At 42.9% G+C, this 18,969-nt stretch overlaps 1 long non-coding RNA gene across 1 annotated transcript, besides 4 other annotated features; it reads right to left on the reverse strand.

Moving 5' to 3' along the window:
* Positions 410 to 479: a silencer, noted in NCBI's record as "silent region_11565". NCBI's record gives its function as "represses an Ori minimal core promoter by ATAC-STARR-seq in GM12878 lymphoblastoid cells {active_cell/tissue: GM12878}" and the evidence as "EXISTENCE:reporter gene assay evidence [ECO:0000049][PMID:35858748]".
* Positions 811 to 1,810: a silencer, noted in NCBI's record as "silent region_11566". NCBI's record gives its function as "represses an Ori minimal core promoter by ATAC-STARR-seq in GM12878 lymphoblastoid cells {active_cell/tissue: GM12878}" and the evidence as "EXISTENCE:reporter gene assay evidence [ECO:0000049][PMID:35858748]".
* LOC105374777 (uncharacterized) lies at positions 7,077 to 18,285 on the reverse strand. The gene is made up of 6 exons (XR_940177.3): positions 18,134 to 18,285; positions 17,661 to 17,959; positions 16,352 to 16,387; positions 12,558 to 12,704; positions 12,217 to 12,321; positions 7,077 to 7,902 (listed from the first exon to the last, which is right to left on the reverse strand). It is a non-coding gene; the product is annotated as an uncharacterized LOC105374777 (long non-coding RNA).
* Positions 17,725 to 18,570: an enhancer, noted in NCBI's record as "H3K27ac hESC enhancer chr2:64994771-64995616 (GRCh37/hg19 assembly coordinates)". NCBI's record gives its function as "activates a minimal SCP1, AML or CMV promoter by ChIP-STARR-seq in primed H9 embryonic stem cells {active_cell/tissue: H9 hESC(primed)}" and the evidence as "EXISTENCE:reporter gene assay evidence [ECO:0000049][PMID:30033119]".
* Positions 17,969 to 18,468: a silencer, noted in NCBI's record as "silent region_11567". NCBI's record gives its function as "represses an Ori minimal core promoter by ATAC-STARR-seq in GM12878 lymphoblastoid cells {active_cell/tissue: GM12878}" and the evidence as "EXISTENCE:reporter gene assay evidence [ECO:0000049][PMID:35858748]".

An 18,969-nucleotide genomic window follows, 5' to 3' on the forward strand; every position in this document is an offset into this window, starting at 1 on the left:
AAACGTACCCATCGTCCCTTTTACACTTTTTGCAGGTGATAGAATCTATCAGATCACATTGGTGGCTATCACTGCTCTCTAAGCATCCTAAAGACAGAAAGCATGCCATTACCAAATGTTTTATAAGCGTTATAATGCCCCGATGGTGGAAGTCTGGCAATACCTAGATATACAGCAAGGCTGGTGAATAAGGAGCTGAGGGGCGGAGGAAGCGGGAGCGAGGGAGGGAGGAAAGGAGGGAGTCGCCACCTTAAATCCACGCCGGACCGGGAACCTGCAGCCCACAACCTGATCCCTGCCCTCCCCAACAGTGGACCGGCCACCACATTTTTTCAGATCCTCCTCACCCAACCCAGCACAGCACTCACCCTTCTGCGAAGAAGTCGGCACCCAGTCCAGCTCCGAGACGGGTCGGGGTGGCAGCGAGGGAGGGGGCGTCTGGGCTGTGGGCGGGGGGTGTCTGTGCGTCACTCGAGTACAGGACGGTGAGTTCGAGGGGTGGGAGCGCAGAGGAGCGGGGAAATCAAGTCACGGCCGAAAAGGGAGAAGGAGAAACGGAGGGGTGGGGTGATGGAGCGCCCCCTCCCTAAAATAAACCCACCGGCCCCTACGATCTCTGCCCCAGAGAGGGAAAATAAAATCAGGGGAAATAATAGACCAACCAATAAATCTCTAAAACGACGAGGAGCGAGGAACAGACTTTAATTTAAAGGGGGGAAAATTGAGCGAGGGCTGGAGGGGAGACAGAGGGAAGCGGCTCTGGGTCTATCCCATGCCTTTGCAGTCCCCAGGCAGAGGAGGAGGCTGGCTGAGGGGAAGTTGCAGCGGCTCCCGAGGAGGAGGAGGAGAAGGAGGAGGAGGATGTTACACCGTAACAAGTACAGACAGACAGCCATGGATCAGAGGGGCGCTGCAAGCAGGAGCAGGGGCGGCCGCGGCGGGGCGAGCGGCGGCGGGCGGCAGCACCGCCTGCTCGGCTCGCTCAAGACATTTAATTGGATTGATGGGTTGTGCAGTGACTCACAGACTTTACAGAGTCGTACAGCAATCCCCGCCCAGCTGGACAGGGGTGATGCGGCGGGGACGGGCGGGGTAAGGGGGCCGAGAAAGAGGTGAGCTAGGAGGCGGCGACGAGAGGGTGAGGAGCTGAGGGGGCGGAGCGGAGCGGAGCTACCCAATGGTGAGGCCCATCGTTCCGACGGGCGTGGGCCTCGACCTATGGCGGCGCGGCTCGTTAAGCGGCTGGCTGCACCCCTGGCCCAATGAGTCTTCTAAGGACACTGCCGCGAGCGGGGCGGGGGCAGTGGAGTGGGGGGTGGGGAGAGGTGGGTGGACGTTCAAGTGTGGGGTGGAGGGAAGGAGGAGGCGCCGGAGACCCGCGGAGTCACTCGGCCCTCCTCGCTCCAGAAGTGCGCCTTCTGCCAATCCGAGCGCCTCGCGGGAGTGATGGACGCGAGCGTGTGGCCAATGGGGAGGAGAGGGCTTCCGCAGCCGGCCAGAGGGGAAGGAGCGGGCGGGCCCGGCCTCCTCCTCTCCACCAGCTCCTCTCCGGGCCAGCCCTCCCCTCCCGCGCGGCTCGGGTCAGTCACGCAAATAACAGTGTGAGGGCCGGGGCTGCGCGGGGGGGCGGCGGCCCGCTGCTGGCTGCGTGACAGCGATGGGGACTGGCTGTGCTGCCTACTCTGATCCGGCAGGAGGAGGCGGCGGCGGAGGCTGGCTCCTAACTCTGCGTGCAGGCGGCGGCTGCTGCTCAGACTCTGCCTGGCGCTGCCGGGGAGCCCCTACGGCCAAACCCCACTCCCGGGGGACAGCCAGATTTGGAGTGAATCAGATCACGCAGTGCCCACTCTTGGAGACCGCTCCGGGGGAAGTCCGGCGGGGCTGTGTGCTGGGATCTGAGGAGGCTGGAAGCCGTAGGCGGGAGGCTTGGCCGTGACATTTGCCCCTTGCTTGCTTGCCTGTTTTCTGGGAAAGTCAGGGTAGGGTGTGGGCAGGTCGAAACAGCTCCTGAATACGTCCTGTTGCTTTACTGAGTTTCTGGAAAAGGCACTTCTTAACCTGGTATGAGCGAAGCTGTAAATGCATGTCGATACCTCAGCTTCCTCCAACCCTCCCTCCCGCACGGATCTTCCTCCCACTGGCTCACCTTGAACCCTGACGTCGGTGCTCCGCAGCACCCACTACTAGATCTTCTCCTCCCTGCTGATTCCCAGGAGTTATGGCTTTTCACAGTTTCTTGGCTACTGTCCAGCAATCATTTTACAGACCTTAACCCTTTACACACCCTTGTACTTGAAAGTACTGTAACTGTAACCACCAATAAACCTGAATGGAGATGTTCACTAAAGCAAATACACTGGCAAGAACCCACCTTCTTCCCCACAGGTGCATTTCTGCACGTAATTTGAGACTTAAAGACAATTGCTTCTGTGAAGAAACTAAGGAAAGGCAAATTAGACACTGTATCTCTACTCAAATTCACTTAGAATACCCGACATCCCCTTTCCACAAAGGAGTCATCTGGAGAGACCTAGGAATAATTTAGCTTTGGAGTCTTGAAGTGAGCGAAATCTTTACATACGTGTGTGTGTATGTATATATATGTATATATTTCAAATATATATATGAAATTGAAACCTACAGTGCTCTGGAATTCAGAAGAGAGATACTAAGTGAACACAAAGGTTTACTTTGGTCATATTGGGACCTTCCTTGATTATTGTCATTTTAGGATACAGATCCTTCCCCTGGGCCTGTTAAGACATACAGCCTGACACTTCTTTTCTCTTCCCTTTCTGATTTTAGCCCTACTCCATGATTTCTTTCAGTAGTCCTGAGTCCACTTACAAAAATGAGCTGTGCCACAAACTTCTTGTAGCACACAGCTTGTGTATGTGTTGCCTCTCAGTATGCTGAAACTCCTTTGGAATTCCACAGTGCAGGAAGGCCAGTGTCCTCATCCCAAGACATGATTTGCAAAAAGTGGACAGTGTTCCCTTAGCCAGGTCACCCTGTGGTAAGTGAAACAAATTAGATCCCTTGTGTGGGAAAAATTCACTTCTTTTCCAAAGTGGGTTATTGAACTACATTTAAGAATGTGCTGGCTGGGTCCAGTGGCTCATGCCTATAATCCCAGCACTTTGGGAGGCCGAGGTGGGCGGATTACCTGAGATCAAGAGTTCGAGATCAGCCTGGCCAACATGGTGAACCCTCGTCTCTACTAAAAATACAAAAAGAAAAAAATTAGCTGGGCCTGGTGGTGCGTGCCTGTAGTCCCAGCTACTCGGGGAGGCTGAGGTAGGAGAATCGCTTGAACCCAGGAGGTGGAGGTTGCAGTGAGCCAAGATCGCGCCACCGCACTCAAGCCTGGGCAACAGAGGGAGACTCCATCTCAAAAAAAACAAAAAAAAGAATGTGCTAATGATACATTTTAGAAGCCCCTTTCTTATTTCCTCCACTGTGAGGTCATTTCATGACTCAGGTGACTATAATTGATCAGAGTATTGTTTTACATATGAATAACCCTGAAGAAGATTTTGAATCTTCTTCATACACTAGAATGTAGTGCGTAGTATGTAGTTGAGTAGACATTCACTAGTATCTTTCAGAGGATCTGCAAATACCTAGGGTTAGCATCTTGTGGCAGAAGCTGCCCCTGTGTCAGTTGTTACTGGCATGCATCCAGGCCCTACCGTGTGCCTTCTAATTTTGTGCTCTCCTTAGTCCAGTGTTTCTTAAAGGGAAGACACACCCAAATTCCTGGATCTGCTGAAACCTATTGAGTTATCATCTCTGTAGGCTCTACCTGGACATCTGCTCTTTAAACAAATATCCCAGGTGACTTGAATAAATATTAACATTTTAAAATATTAAAATACTAAAATAAATATTTGATTTGAGAACCCTTGTTTATTCCTTTGTTTTGAAAATTTGAGACCCCCTGTTTATTTCTTCCTTTCCTCCTCTTCCTTTCTTATGTGTATCTATTTCTATTTCCTTTCTCCCTTTTTTTTTTTTTTTTGAGACGGAGTCTCGCTCTGTCACCCAGGCTGTAGTGCAGTGGCACGATCTCGGCTTACTGCAACCTCTGCCTCCCAGGTTCAAGTGATTCTCCTGCCTCAGTCTACTGAGTAGCTGGGATTACAGGCGCGCGCCACCATGCCCAGCTAATTTTTGTATTTTTAGTAGAGACGGAGTCTCACCATGTTGGTCAGGCTGGTCTCAAACTCCTGACCTTGTGATCTGCCCACCTCGGCCTCCCTTAGTGCTGTGATTACAGGCATGAACCACCGCGCCCGGCCTATATTTTCTACCTCTCATTTTTGTGCTCACTTCCCCTTCTACACTGCTTGCACACAGGCCTTGCGGGGAAGGAGTGATCCCTAAAAAAGAGGATGAAGATGGCCAATAGTCTTCTATAAATAACATGAGCATACCTCATAACTACAGCACTAAGAAGTATGGGCAAGTCAAATAAAGATCATATATGCCTGAAAAAAAAATCACTGTAATTGATGTTGTATATGAATTGTAATATGTGAGAAGCTTACTAGTTTATGATCTTAAAATACACAGAGACAGAATTTTTTCTATGTAGGAACATTTCAAAATGCAAATTTCAATGTATTAATTTCAACAACTATAGTATTATAGTATTATTGTCATTTTTCTTCCAAACAGTGAGATGTACTAGTGATGTACTGGTAGTATACTAGTGATGTAATAGTGATGTACTAAGGCTGTGATGGTTATTTAAAAGATAAAGTACTATATGAGATTTTTGGTGTCTCAAATGGCTTACAATCTATTTGAGAGGCTCAAAAGTACACACATGCAACATTAAAACAGGAACCTGAGGAAACGTGTAGGGAGGCTTTAAGTGTGTTTGTCAGAGATAAGCAGAATTTGGTTCATTTCTATATAGTTTTCCTCTTGCTTATCTCTACTTTCTAATCTGTTGTGATTATGAGTTGGATGTCTTTTTTAAAATCTGAAAAACAAACAGTATGTCATAATAAAAGATTTCCTTTTTATTGTTATTTATATATTTATGATTGTAGCTGATCAGTCTCGCTCTGTCGCTCAGGCTGGAGTGCAGTGACGAGATCTCGGCTCACTGCAAGCTCCGCCTCCCGGGTTCAGGCCATTCTCCTGCCTCAGCCTCCCGAGTAGCTGGGACTACAGGTGCCTGCCACCACGCCCGGCTAATTTTTTTTTGTATTTTTAGTACAGACGGGGTTTCACTGTGTTAGCCAGGATGGTCTCGATCTCCTGACCTCGTGATCCACCCACCTCGGCCTCCCAAAGTGTTGGGATTACAGGCGTGAGCCAAGCTCCTTTTAAACAGATTTGAACATATACTACCCACATAGATCAGGAAGCAAAAGCAAATCCTCTATCAAGGATAAAGGATTCCACCCAGACCTCATAGAATTTCTACATATAAAGCCTAGGCAAACATGAGCTCACAATCCAAATTACAAAACAAATGAAGAAAAAGGCCATTGTGAGCAAAAGAAGGTTGAGGGAAAAACTTTTTTTAAACCTACACAGCCAAATTAGATTCTCAATCTGAAAAAAGAACAGATCAAGAAAAGAATAGGCCCATTTCACTTATGAACATAGATGCAAAAATTATAGGTAAAATACTAGCAAACTAAATCCAACATGCTTATTACAGTGAGCTAGGAGAAACCTTAAAACGTATTTCCCTGTCTTTAGAATGCATTTATCTGACTAGCCACCTATCTAGTCCTCTATCATGAAAACATAATAAATTAGGTAGACTTTACTCCAGAAATTCAAGTATGATTTAACATCAGAAAGTCTATCAATATAATCCATTTCAAAAGACTAAGAAAAAGCATTTGAGAGAGTATATAACTTATTAATGATAAAAACTTTTATAAGATTAGGAATAGAAGGAAATTTACTTAACCTCATAAAGGACCAAAATGTACAGCAAGTACATTACTTAATGGATTAACTTTAAACACATTCCACATAAGTTTGAGATCAAGATAATGTTGCCTCTACTATTTAATATGACGCTGAAAGTTCTGGCTAACAGAATGATATTTTTTAAAGGAGGAGGAAATAGAAGAATTAGAAGGAAGGAAACTAAATTTGGATTGTTTGCGGTAATACGATCAACCACGTAAAACATCCAATAGAAATAGCAAGCTATTAGAAATAATAAGCGTTCAGCAAGGTGACAGAGATGTTGTTCTCCCCTTCTTCCATAATACTAGGTTTTTTAGCAGGGCACAGGGCCAACCAGAATAAAAACAACATTTGCCAGCCTCCCTTGCAGCTAAGTATTGTCATGCCCCAGGCAACGGGTTGTAAGCAGAAGTAGTGCATACATCCTTAAAGGGAGAAAGTGTGCCTTCATCCTCTTTCCTGTTATCTGGAATGCAGACATAATGGCTGCAGTGTTAGCAGTCATTTTAGATCATAAGCTGACCTTGGATAGGGAAGCCACACATGGCAGAGCAACAAAACAGAAGACACCTGATATAACAGTACCAGCCCTGAGTTATCTACTCACCAAACTTCTTGAATTTCTTGAATAAACCTCTGTCTCATCATGACACTTTTATTTCAGTTTGTGTTTGTGTGTTTGCATTACCTATAGCCAAATCTAATCCCAACTGATATAGCAAGATTCCCAAATAGAAAATCAATTCATGGCCCTGCACAGTGGCAACACTTTGGGAGGCTAAGGCAGGTGGATCATCTGAGGTCAGGAGTTAGAGGCCAGCCTGGACAACATGATGAAAAACCCTGTGTCTACTAAAAATACAAAAATTAGCCTGGTGTGGTTGTGCATGCCTGAGTCCCAGCAACTCAGGAGGCTGAGGCATGAGAATTGCTTGAAGGATCAGAGGCGGAGGTTGCAGTGAGCCGAGATCACGCCACTGCACTCCAGGCTCGGCAACAAAGTGAGACTTGGTCGCCAAAAAAAAAAAAGAAAAAGAAAATCAATTCATGGAAACTGAAAGTATTCATTCACACTTACACTAACAAACTAGAAAATAAGATACTATTTATAAAAGCAACAAAACTATAAAGTATCCAGGAATTAACATATTTGAATTTATTGAAGGAATTCAAAGGAAACCCAAATAGAGGTATATATAATGTTTATGGATAAGATGATGTAACGTTATTAAGATCTCAATTATCTCTAAATGTGTTTATAAATTCAATGCAAACCAAACTTGTAGCAAGATTTGGGGAATTTAAACGTATTCTAAAATGCACATGGAAGACTAAATTTCTTTATAAGTCGGTCATTTTTTATAGTAGCAGACATACAGAACCATGAAACAGAATAGAGAACTCAGAAACAACCCATTTACATAAGAGAATCTGATATGTGATCATGGTAACACCACAAATCCATGAGGAAATCATGTTGAGTTAGTCAGCTATTGCTTGCTGCAATAATAATATTATGTAACAGATAATCCCAACTTATCAGTGGCTTATGGTAGTCATTTATTTTTCTCCCTTATGGGTCTGTATATGAACTGAGATTCAGCTCATCTCATCTGGGCTCCTTAAGACTTGGTTGGGTTCAGCTGAATTCAGCTGGACTTGGCTCCAGGATGCAGGTCAGATTCAAGTCTTCACCACATGTCTCCTTCTGGCAAGAGGTCAAGCCAAATCATTCAAATACATTTAACACCTCTCCTCTCATCATATTCACCAACATTCCATTGGCCAAACAAGTCATATGGCCAAGTTGAACATCAATAGTGGAAGGTAATGCAAAACTTCATGCCAAAAGGCACAGGTGTATAATTGTAGAGCCAGGAGAACAAGAAGGATTGGGAACAATAATCCAATCTAACACAGAGATTTGGTTTCATAGATAATGTTGGGGAAATTGATTCACTGTGAGAAAAATATAAAATTAAACCCCTATCTCATACCATATGCAAAGGTGAGCTCTACATTAGCAACAACAACAACAAAAAAAAACCTAAAAGTAAAAGGTAAAACTAATAGAAATTAAAAATAGAAGAATAGCTTTGTAATCTTAGGGTAGAAAAAAGAAGAAAAGCATTTAAACAAGACTCAAAGCATAAACTATAAAATCAAAAAAAGATGAACTTGATGACATCAAAATTTTAAACTGTTCTGTTCAACAAAAAACATCATAAACAAGTTTAGAGAAAGTTGATAGATTGGAAAGTATTTTCAAAGGCTGAAGCCAACAAAAGATTAATATCTAGAATATACAGTATTAAGAATTCCTACAAATAACTGAGAAAAAAAAGAAATGCAATAGAAAAATAGCCAAAGGATATGAACAGGCAGATTTATAGAAGGGAACCTTGAGAGACTAACAAGTAGATGAAGAGATATCCAACCTCACTTATAATCAGATAACTGTACATAAAAACACCAAAATACTTATTTACATCTATTAAATAGGCAAACGTGAAAGTTTAGTAATATCAAGTGTTGCCTAGGATAGGAAGAAATTTGAATCCTCCTGCTTTGTTATTGGGAGTTAAGTCCTGGTACAATCATTTTGGAGCATTAACTAACAATACTTAATGAAATATAGAATGTGGTAGAATGTATTTTTCCCGATGACCCAGCAGTTCCACTCCTGGGAATGTGCACCCCTAAGAAGCTCTTGCACAGGTCCTTAAGTGACCACAATTGAGGTGTTCATCACAGCAGCACTTGAGCTAGCCAGATATTGAAGGCAACCTTAGCATATACATCACCAGCACAATGGGTAAGTACGAGGTAATGGGTGCCATGGAACAACATGCAGCTGTTGGAAGTAATGCACTAAGTGTACATTTTGCAACATGGATACATTTTTTTAAATGTTTTATGAATTTTTTAAAAAAGGTAAACAGAACAAGATCACGTAAGCCCCAGGCCTTTGAATGTCTTTCCTATAGGGTACATCTCTTTGTTTTTCATTTCTGCTTTTAGCTGGGACACTTTGAGGGAAGGGTAGGGTAGGTATTGTTACAATTCACTTCTGACAAATATTTTCTTCCAGTTCTCACATGAGGTTGAGGCAGATTTTCATGCAGTCCCCAGGCCCCCATGGTTTCTACCCTCATAGCATCCACCATCACCTTCCTGCTCCCCTTTTGCATGTTTAAAAGACATTTATCGATTATATGTTTTCTTCTCAGGCTGGGTGCAAGATGAGTGATGGCTGTTGAGGAGTGGGCCACAGTCTGAGATATAGAAAACAATCCTGCTACTCTGCTATTCGTATCTGCTCACATCCCCATTTCCAAGTTAAAAACATACGAACAGATCAGGTGCGGTGGCTCACGCCTGTAATCCTAGCACTTTGGGAGGCCGAGGCGGGCAGATCACTTGAGGTCAGGAGTTTGAGACCAGCCTTGCCAACATGGTGAAACACTGTCTGCATTAAAAATACAAAAATTGGCTGGGCGCAGTGGCTCAGGCCTGTAATCCCAGCACTTTGGGAGGCTGAGGCAGGCAGATCACCTGGTCACGAGATCAGGAGATCAAGACCATCCTGGTTAACACGGTGAAGCCCCGTCTCTAATAAAAATACAAAAACAAAATTAGCCGGACGTGGTGGCAGGCACCTGTAGTCCCAGCTACTCGGGAGGCTGAGGCAGGAGAATGGCATGAACCCAGGAGACGGAGCTTGCAGTGAGCTGAGATCACGCCACTGCACTCCAGCCTGGGCAACAGAGCAAGACTCCGTCTAAAAAAAAAACACCCAAACAGTCCTGGATTTTTCAAAGTTGTAAGACTACTGATCTAAACATATATTTACTTATGTATCTTTGTACACCTCTTAATGTGCTGTCAGTTCTAATAATAACCATAAGGATAAAACAATAACAGTGATTATAATATCAACTTTGTGTCAATAAGCAAGCAGTAGGCACGAGGGCCATTTAGAGTTGAGAAGCATGAGATGAAAAAAGAGAGCCGAAGAAGATTAGGTTAAATATCAGAAATAGCTCCCTGAAATCAGGATTGATGAACAAATGGAGTTACCAAAAGGCTGGGGATACATGGGTAGTTTTCTGAAAAAAAATTTAAGGGTTTTCTAGCTAAAGACAGGGGAATGGATGAGATGGTTCTTGAAGTTTCTCCCAGCCCTGTTAGGTTATGAGCCCTCCAGTAGGCATGTTAAAAACAAAATCGTTTCCCACAAAGGTACGCTCAGAATAACGCCTGTTTGAATTATGCTGCTTTAAAAGCCAGTCTCTGCCCGAAGCTTTTCTTAAGGGCTATTACCAGTATACTAAATTCTGACCCTTAGTAATGGCTAGGATTTCATGGCCCTCAAACTCTCATATGTAGGAGCTTGCCTGAGCTCAGGTAGGGAGCTCTACAGGAAGGCCCCTGTTGTGAGGCCCAGCTGCTCATACCCTTTCCTGGTGGACTAGCAGCAGCTGCAGGCAATTCTCCAGCAAACTTTGGGTCCCTGAATCTTGCAGAAGCCAGAATATGATCCTGCCGGGATGACTGTTCTCGGAATCGCATTTCTTACTATTCTCGCCTAGGGTCTGTAACACTCACCACCAGCTCCCAATATTGGGGCCTTAATGTTAGCTTGCATCTGTTTCATAAACCTGACCCTAAAAGGTCTAATGATTTATCCAGCTGCAGTTTCTGTAACTCCTAGGAGCTGTTGATCAGTCATTCCATCTTTGCTCAGTAATTACTTACTGAGTTCCAGGGAGCCTTGGGAGACGTATTTGGAAAAGTAGACTGAGTCCAGATTATAGAGCATTAGATGCCTGGTTAAGAGTTTCAATTTATGGGATAAGACAATAGGGACCCTCTGGTGGTGGTTGAGAACTGGAAAAGCAAAATGAAGAGTGTTTTAAATTTAATTGAACAGGCCTGTCACAGTGGCTCACGCCTGTAATCCTAGCACTTTGGGAGCACGAAGCAGGCGGATCACTTGAGGTCAGGAGTTCGAAACCAGCCTGGCCAACATGGTGAAACCCCATCTCTACTAAAAATACCAAAAAAATGACTGGGCGTGGTGGCTCATGACTGTAATCCCAGCACTTTGGGAGGCCGAGGCGGGCAGATCACGAGGTCAGGAGATCGAGACCATCCTGGCTGACATGGTGAAACCCCGTCTCTACTAAAAATATACAAATTAGCCGACTGTGGTGGCAGGCGCCTGTAGTCCCAGCTACTCGGGAGGCTGAGGCAGGAGAATGGTGTGAACCCAGGAGGCGGAGCTTGCAGTGAGCCGAGATCATGCCACTGCACTTCAGCCTGGGCAACAGAGCGAGACTCCGTCTCTTAAGAAAAAAAAGAAAAGAAAAAGAAAAATTAGCAGGGGTTGGTTGGTGGCAGATGCCTGTAATCCCAGCTACAGGAAGCTGAGGCAGGAGAATTGCTTGAACCCAGGAGGTGGAGGTTGCAGTGAGCCAGGATTGTGCCACTGCACTCCAGCCTGGGCTATAGAGCAAGACTCCGTCTCAAAAAACAAAACAAAACAAAACAAAACAAAAAAATTAATTGAACAAACACTTGTTGAGGAAAGGGACAAATAGCTATTAGGTCCTTATTACAAGAAAAAAGGAAAACACTGTGGTAAACCCAGGAGGAAGAAAAAAAGTCCCTGCCTTCAAGGAATTTATAGCTGCTAGATTTTGTTCTGTTTTTGTTTTTAATATAGGGGGGTAGTGTTTTGAGGTATTAACCAATGTGGCTTTCCTGCATTTCCTATACTCCTGTCCATTTTCTTGGGGTACAGAGGTAGCACAGCAGAGATTTAGAAACAAAGAAAAGAATCGATTCTTGATTTGTAGTTTTCAAAATGAACTTTAAGAACTCACAACAGAGACAATAGTTTTAAAGAAGAAGCGTGGGTTTTCATAAGTTACAATGCAACATGAATGACAGATTTTGAAGCAGGACAGCTACATAATTTGTGGAGCTTGGAAATAAAAAGGGCTGTTAAAGTACTAGAATATAAAGATGTTCCCTTTCTTCTGTAGTGTGTCTCCGAACTTGTGGTGTGGGTTTTTTTCATTTATTTAACGTCATTCTAAGTTTTAAAAATGGAAAATTTAATTTATTAGCTTGACTATTATTGTTCATTTTTATATTGTGCACTACCAGTTTTAAGTGCAAATATAAGAGCATTTACTTTATAGTGGAATCACTGAAATTATCCAGTTCACATTTCAGCTTGTACATGCATATGCATTTTGTTCTTACCAGAATATTGGAAACACTGCACAACCAGCTCAATTGCTTTTATTCCTTGATATGTAAGCATTCTACCAACACTCTATCTTCAGCTTAGTGATGAGCAAGGAATGGCTGAAAGGAAAAAGAACTATACATTGCCCAATATTTCCCATTTCTTCTACGTCTTCATGTTCAGCATATGTGATTAGCTAATACAGGGAAATATAACAAGTAAGAAAAGATATATGATCCATTTCCCTGGTCATTCACATTTTTTAGAATGCCATTGCCTTTTTTTCTGCATTCAAAACAAGTTCTGGTTTGAATGGAAAATGTGACCTCTCAGGGCTGTCAGCACCCCCACTTACCAATCAAAGATGAAACACACATGTCACTGAACCTCCGAACATTGTAAGACAACCAGAATTCTGGGCTTGTGGGGCAGCAAGGAACAGCAGATGTACAGCTGATGAATATCTCCTCTGCTTGTGCGCCATTGTCCCAGCAGACATCACCTACAAATCATAGGTTCAAAAGTAAAATTAAGACTTTCAAGATAGCACGGCAGAGTATTAAAACAAACCTGGGCCCTTCTGAGTGTGAGGCCCTGTACAACTGCAAGGGATCTGTGATGCTAGCCATGTTTGGAAGAATAAATGAAGAGCCAGACTACCCAGCTGCAGACAAGATAATGATGCTGTGGACTGAGGGTAGGAGAGAAAGCCAGGGGCTCTAGATACGAATGTATCTCTGAGAAAGGGGGATCTGAGTCATGATCTTGGCTTCAACACTCCCATCTACCCATCAGGTCATTCCCCAGAAGCCCCTGGGAGGTTGGAAAATGAAAGCAGGAAAGAGCTGCTGTACCTTGCTGCCAAGGCTTTATATAATCCATTGAAACCTTGGAAAATATAGAAAATCCCAATAAAATAATTAAACTATCTATAATCCTACCGTTCAGGGAGAGTCACTGTTCGAATTTTGGTTCCTAAGTGATTTGAAATATATTCGTACAAAATGTGTAAATGTAACAATATATGGTAATCATTTCTCATAATACTGCATGTGCTTCTAGAAAATGATTTTTAAGTCAACATTGCTTTTTAAGGTGAGTATTTGGTGGTGGTTTGTACGATGAATTCTGGAGGAAACAATCTGACAACAGAGAGCCTGGTCAGGAGAGAAACACAAGAATCCAAGAGGGGCACTATGGAGGCTTGCAGTGGAAAGAGGAAGGAAAGGACTGGATGGGGCTTAAAAAGATAGTGAAAAAAGCAAGTCACCAAAGCTTCTATCTATATATAGTTCAAAAGCAGACAAAATTAAACACCATGTTATTCAGTAATATATATGTAGGCAGTAAAACTACATAGAAAGATGAAATTCAGGATGATAGCTCCTGAGGTGGGGCCAGGGAGGCAAATGTGCTCAGAAATGGGCTCACAGTGACTTCCAAGGGGCTAGTAATGTTCTATTTCTTAAGCTGGGTGGTAGACACATGAGTGTCGATTTATGATTATTTCTTAAGCTGTACACTTTCATTTAATATACTCTTTTGTGTGCATGATATAATATAGGCCTATATATCTTAGGCCAATTCCAGAAGATAAGGTTTTCCCCAGCCTCAGTCTCTGTATCCTGAGATTTTGCCAGATAGGTTATAGAAACTGAGGCTCTTCCGGGAAAACACCCAACTTCTTCACCACCCACAGAATTTAATCTTGTTGCTCTTAAGTAGCTGACTGGAGTATATTTGTCTGAAAGGTTATGTCTGAGCTGAGACCAGCACCAATGCAGGAATGCACTAGAATATAGATACGCAGACATACATGGATACACAGCAGACCTAACCATGTGTGGCCAGGACTGGAAAAGCTTTCTGCTCTGGAAGTGTCTTCCTTGTAGCACAAACAGCAGGTACATGGCATGTTTTTCCAGCTTCAGGACAGCCACCCCTAACCAAATCTAGGATGTGGAAGGGGAGGAGTAGCTGCCAAGTATGTTATAAAGTCCTCTTCAGGTTATAGCATATCTGCAGGATCCTTAAGGACAAGTACGTTGTGATCTTGCCTTTCCCGTATCCCAACTGGGTAGACGTGCTACATGAGATACTTTCAGCAGCCTTACAAACGTTTCTTATTCTAATATACAGAATATGTTTTATTCTAATATATGAATATTGCATATTCATATATATTATATTAAATATATAATATATATATCGCTGACACCTAAAAGCCATGATTATTGCTTAGAGCAAAGCTAAACTGAAGTAGAGAGCAAAGGTAGCCTGAATTAAAGTTTTTAAAAGCTTTCAAAAAGGTCCCTATAAATAGTATAGCTGGTGCATAGAGAGAGTACAAATCACGAAAGTGGTCTACTTTGGTGGAAAGTTTGCACAGGAATTTTGTGGTTCTTAAGAAAGTGGAATATGGGCAGTGAGCAGCCCTACTCTATGACCCTAACCACAACTTGTGACCCAAGAGACTATTGTAAATCTCTCCTCATTCCAATAATAAATCTATTTTGAGCTCTTCTTATCTGCCAGGCTCTGGTAAAGTGCTCTGTGTACATTAGCTCATATACAGATACACTCAAAATATTTCCATTTATTCAAATATATCCCTCCTCCTCTTCTTCCTCTTTGTCTTCATCAAAATCTTCATCACAGGGCATTAGTGCTGGGTCCTCTGAAGGGAAACCGCCCTGGCACCATCAATCCTGCACCCTTTCCTATTGTACTGAAGAGTAACAACACTAACTTATACATAAACCTATGTAAGAAACACCTACAATGGAATTGAAAACAAATCATTTGGCTTATTTCTGGCATGACTCCTGTAGTGCACAACCCCTTTTCTATCTCAATGCCTGTGCTTTTTCACTTTTGTAACAGGCAGAAGGACTGTGTACACATTACCTCACTGGAATATTTTGGAATCTAACTACTTGATCTCTAGTACAGAAAGCCATTGTAGGAAATGTGAATTCTGATAAACAGATCTTTGTTTTAAGTTACACTCTGGTGTAACGTAAAATTGATGTTATAAATTTTTTACATAATTATTTTATAATGGATACTCAGTAGACCTTTAACTCTGCCGTTACTTCTATTCCTAACATGCCACAAGAATAGAGGAAAAAATATGAACAACAGAATGCTTTTTAAAATGCTGATAACACAGGTCTACCAAGCTTTGAGCAAATGATTTCTATGGTGATTCATAGATTAGGTCCAGCTAGGTTGAGAGTGCTGAGGAAGAACAGTACGGAGGTTCCTCAAAAAACTAAAAACAGAACGACCATCTGACCCAGCAATCCCACTACTAGATATATACCCAAAATAAAGGAAATCAGTATCTCAGTGAGATATTTGCACTCCCATGTTTATTGCAGCACTATTCACAATAGCCAAAATTTGGAAGCAAAGTGAATGTCCATTAACAGATGAATGGATAAAGAAAATGTGGTACATATACACAATGGAGAAGTATTCAGCCATAAAAAAGAATGAGATCCTGTCATTTTCAACAACATGGATGGGGCTGGAAGACATCATGTTAAGTGAAATAAACCAGACAAAGAAAGACAAACTTCACATGTTCTTACTCAATTGTGGGAGCTAAAAATTAAAACAATTGAACTCATGAAGATAGAGAGTAGAATGATGGTTACCAGAGGCTGGGAAAGGTAGTCGGGGATGGCAGAAGTGGGGATGGCTAATGGGTACAAAACTAGAGTTAGAATGAATAAGCTCTGGTATTTGATAGCACAACAGGGTGATTACAGTCAACAATAATTCACTGCACGTTTAAAAATAACTAAGAGTATAATTGGAATGTTTCTTTTAGTATAAACTAAAAGAAAGTTAAGTGTTTGAGGTATACGCTATTTACCCTGATGTGATAAGTATGTATTGTTTGCCTGTATCAAAATATTTCATGTACTCCATAAAATATACACCTACTATGTACCCATAAAAAATTTTTAAAAAGCATGCTAAGGATGAAAGATTAGCTTTGTTTGTTTCCCAGTAAACTTCTCTAAAATAATAATCCCAAAACAGAACTTCTACAAATATTGAGTGTCTACTATGTACCCTCAGGCCTCCACAGACAAGCAAAAGAAGAAACTGAAGATTTCCCTCCAAAGATTAACTCACCTGTAAATTAAAGAGAGATCTGCCTGCCATATGTGCCTAAATTTAGAAAAAAAATTAAGGGTATTTTTAGTTAAAAAATTTTTAATAGATGATACATACTCAATTCCAAGATACAAAAGGATAGATCATGGAAAATAATTTTCTCTCCCATCCTAGCCTCTCAGTTACCTCCCAGAAGGCAAACATTGTTACAGGTTTCATATATATAATTTGAATATATATACAAGTTCATATATACCATGTATACTTATTTTTCTAAAGTAAATCATAGTAGTTTATATTGTTTCTGCACCTTTCTTTTTTCACTTAACAATATCTTGGAGATACTTCCCTATCAGTACATAAAGGGATTGTTTTAATCTTCTTCAAGGCCACATAACAGTTCATTATATAGATGTACCATGATTGTGGGACATTAATATTGTTTCTAACCTTTTGCTAGTACACACATTGCAACAACCAATGACTTCACATGTAAGTACTGCATCTGTAGCATAAACTTCTAGAAATGAAATGACTGGATCCAAGGGTAAGTGCAGTTGCCAAATTGTCTTTCATGAGGGTCCTGCCATCAAATGGGTGTTTTATAATGAATGCACTGTTAACAATTGCTATTGTGGTTGTTGTTTAAGTACTCATACAGTGGTAGGGCACAGTACTCTCCTCAGCAAAACCATGTAATAATGCTGTTTTTACAGACACCCCCACTTCATAGACTAGTTGTTAGCAAGAACAGTACATTGTATGCTACTCTACTTGAATTTTGTGGTTATAGAATAATTGGCATGGTAACCAAGCCATGGTTTAGTTAGGCTTTAAAAAACAAACCTATATCTATGTATGTATATCCAATCCTTTTTCTTAATAAATCTAAAAGGCAGTCGACTCTGGAGTATGTGGAGTTTAGAAAGTGAAACTGACTAGAAACCAAGATGAAAGATAATCAGGCTTCCTCTTCAGTGCTGACTGCAGCAGACCAACCAAATTATAAGAAATAAATTACCGTTAAAAAAATTCCCCGTTTTAATTACTGCAAATGTTAACGTGACTAGGTAAGAACTATTTTTAATCACCTATAATTACACGGTTAGTGTACAGCTAAAAGCACGAAGTCAGTATCCAAAAGCCACAATTAAAAAAAACAACAACACTAAGACAAACTTTGCTTTTGTTTGAAATGTGCAATATTTTTCCTTTACATGCTCTCTCTTCCCGAATAAATGCTACGTTTAGAATTGCTAGGGTTCCGCAGATACAGAAAGCCAGCTAGAAACATCCCTTCCCTGAATTCGATGGGCTTACGTCTTACCCAGCTTGAGCAAATTCTTGGCGAATATTTCATGAACTCACAAGAGACGAATTTGACATATTTAGAAGGGATGTAAAATAAAGTAGTGTAGGTTTTAAAGCTTTAGAAAATTGGGGAATTCCTTGGGCCAGAGAGAGATCATTAGACCTGCAATTCATACTTGGAATTACAAAGGGATACACAAAATTGAATTCTTTCCGATCATTGTGTATTAGCATCTCCCATTCTAGGTAGGATTTTTCGTTCACGATGAAGGCAAGGAGAGGGAGGGCCAGCTAGGTCCGCGGTCGGAGGAGTGTCTATAAATAGAAGGTGAAGTGTTCTAATACCGACAGGGTGCGTCATAGCGTCCCTCCCCCGAGCCGAAAGCGCCCAGGCAGCCCGCGGGAGCCACTGCGCGGCACCGGGACGCCCGCCCGGCTTCCCGCTCCCCGCCCTGGCCCGCGCCCCTCTCCCTCCTAGGAGCTGGAGACCTGCAGGCAGGGGCAGGGGACCCGGTCCTCTGCAGAACCCGAGCTCAGGGTTGCGTTAGACCCACTCCGGGGCGCACGGTCTTCAGCGGAGGGACGGCGGGGTGCGAAGGACCGAGGCGCCCCTGCTCGGGTGGCAGCCGATCGCCGCCTCCCGCATCCCCCGGCTGCCTCCCCCGTCCGGTCCTACCCTCCTCCCTGCCCGCGAAGGGAGAACAATAACCCGAGCGCGCCTGGGAAGCGGAGACACTGGGAGGCGGGCAGACAATGCGAGGGAGTTGCGAGGGGGCAGCCCCAGCGCACCGCGCGTTCTCGCTGTGTCCCAGCCGCGCCCGAGGGCTTGGCCTGGGGCAAGCGGGCCGCGGGGGCGCAGTAAGAGGCTACGTGGAAGATAATTTAGGTCTCTTGAAATCTAAAATCTCACAGCGTCTGTTCAAGGCCGGGGAGAATTTCCTCCAGTCTAGATAGAACATCAGCAGTTGGTTAAAATACACACAGACATGTGTGTATTTGGGTCCTTTTCTATTTTGGATCTGAATCTCTAAAGTCACTTTTGGAATTTCCATAAGCCTGTCTTTTTGTAAACAGATTTTTCTGGGATTCCCCCACCCCGACTCCTGTCTTGCGCTGCTTGTTCTTCCAGCTTGACCCTGTCCAGGTATCCCTCCCTCTCTCCCTCCCTCCTTCTTTTCCTCCTTCCCTCTCTCCCTACACACATACATTTGCCCCAGTTTGCACCTTTTTTTTTTTTTTTTTTTTTTTTGGTGCTGCAATTCTTTCTCCCTTTTGATTGGCGCTTTCTTTGGGTTCTTCTGCCCTTTTCGAAGTGCTGGTTTTAT

This window comes from Homo sapiens, chromosome 2 (assembly GCF_000001405.40).
Source record: "Homo sapiens chromosome 2, GRCh38.p14 Primary Assembly".
NCBI lineage: Eukaryota > Metazoa > Chordata > Mammalia > Primates > Hominidae > Homo > Homo sapiens.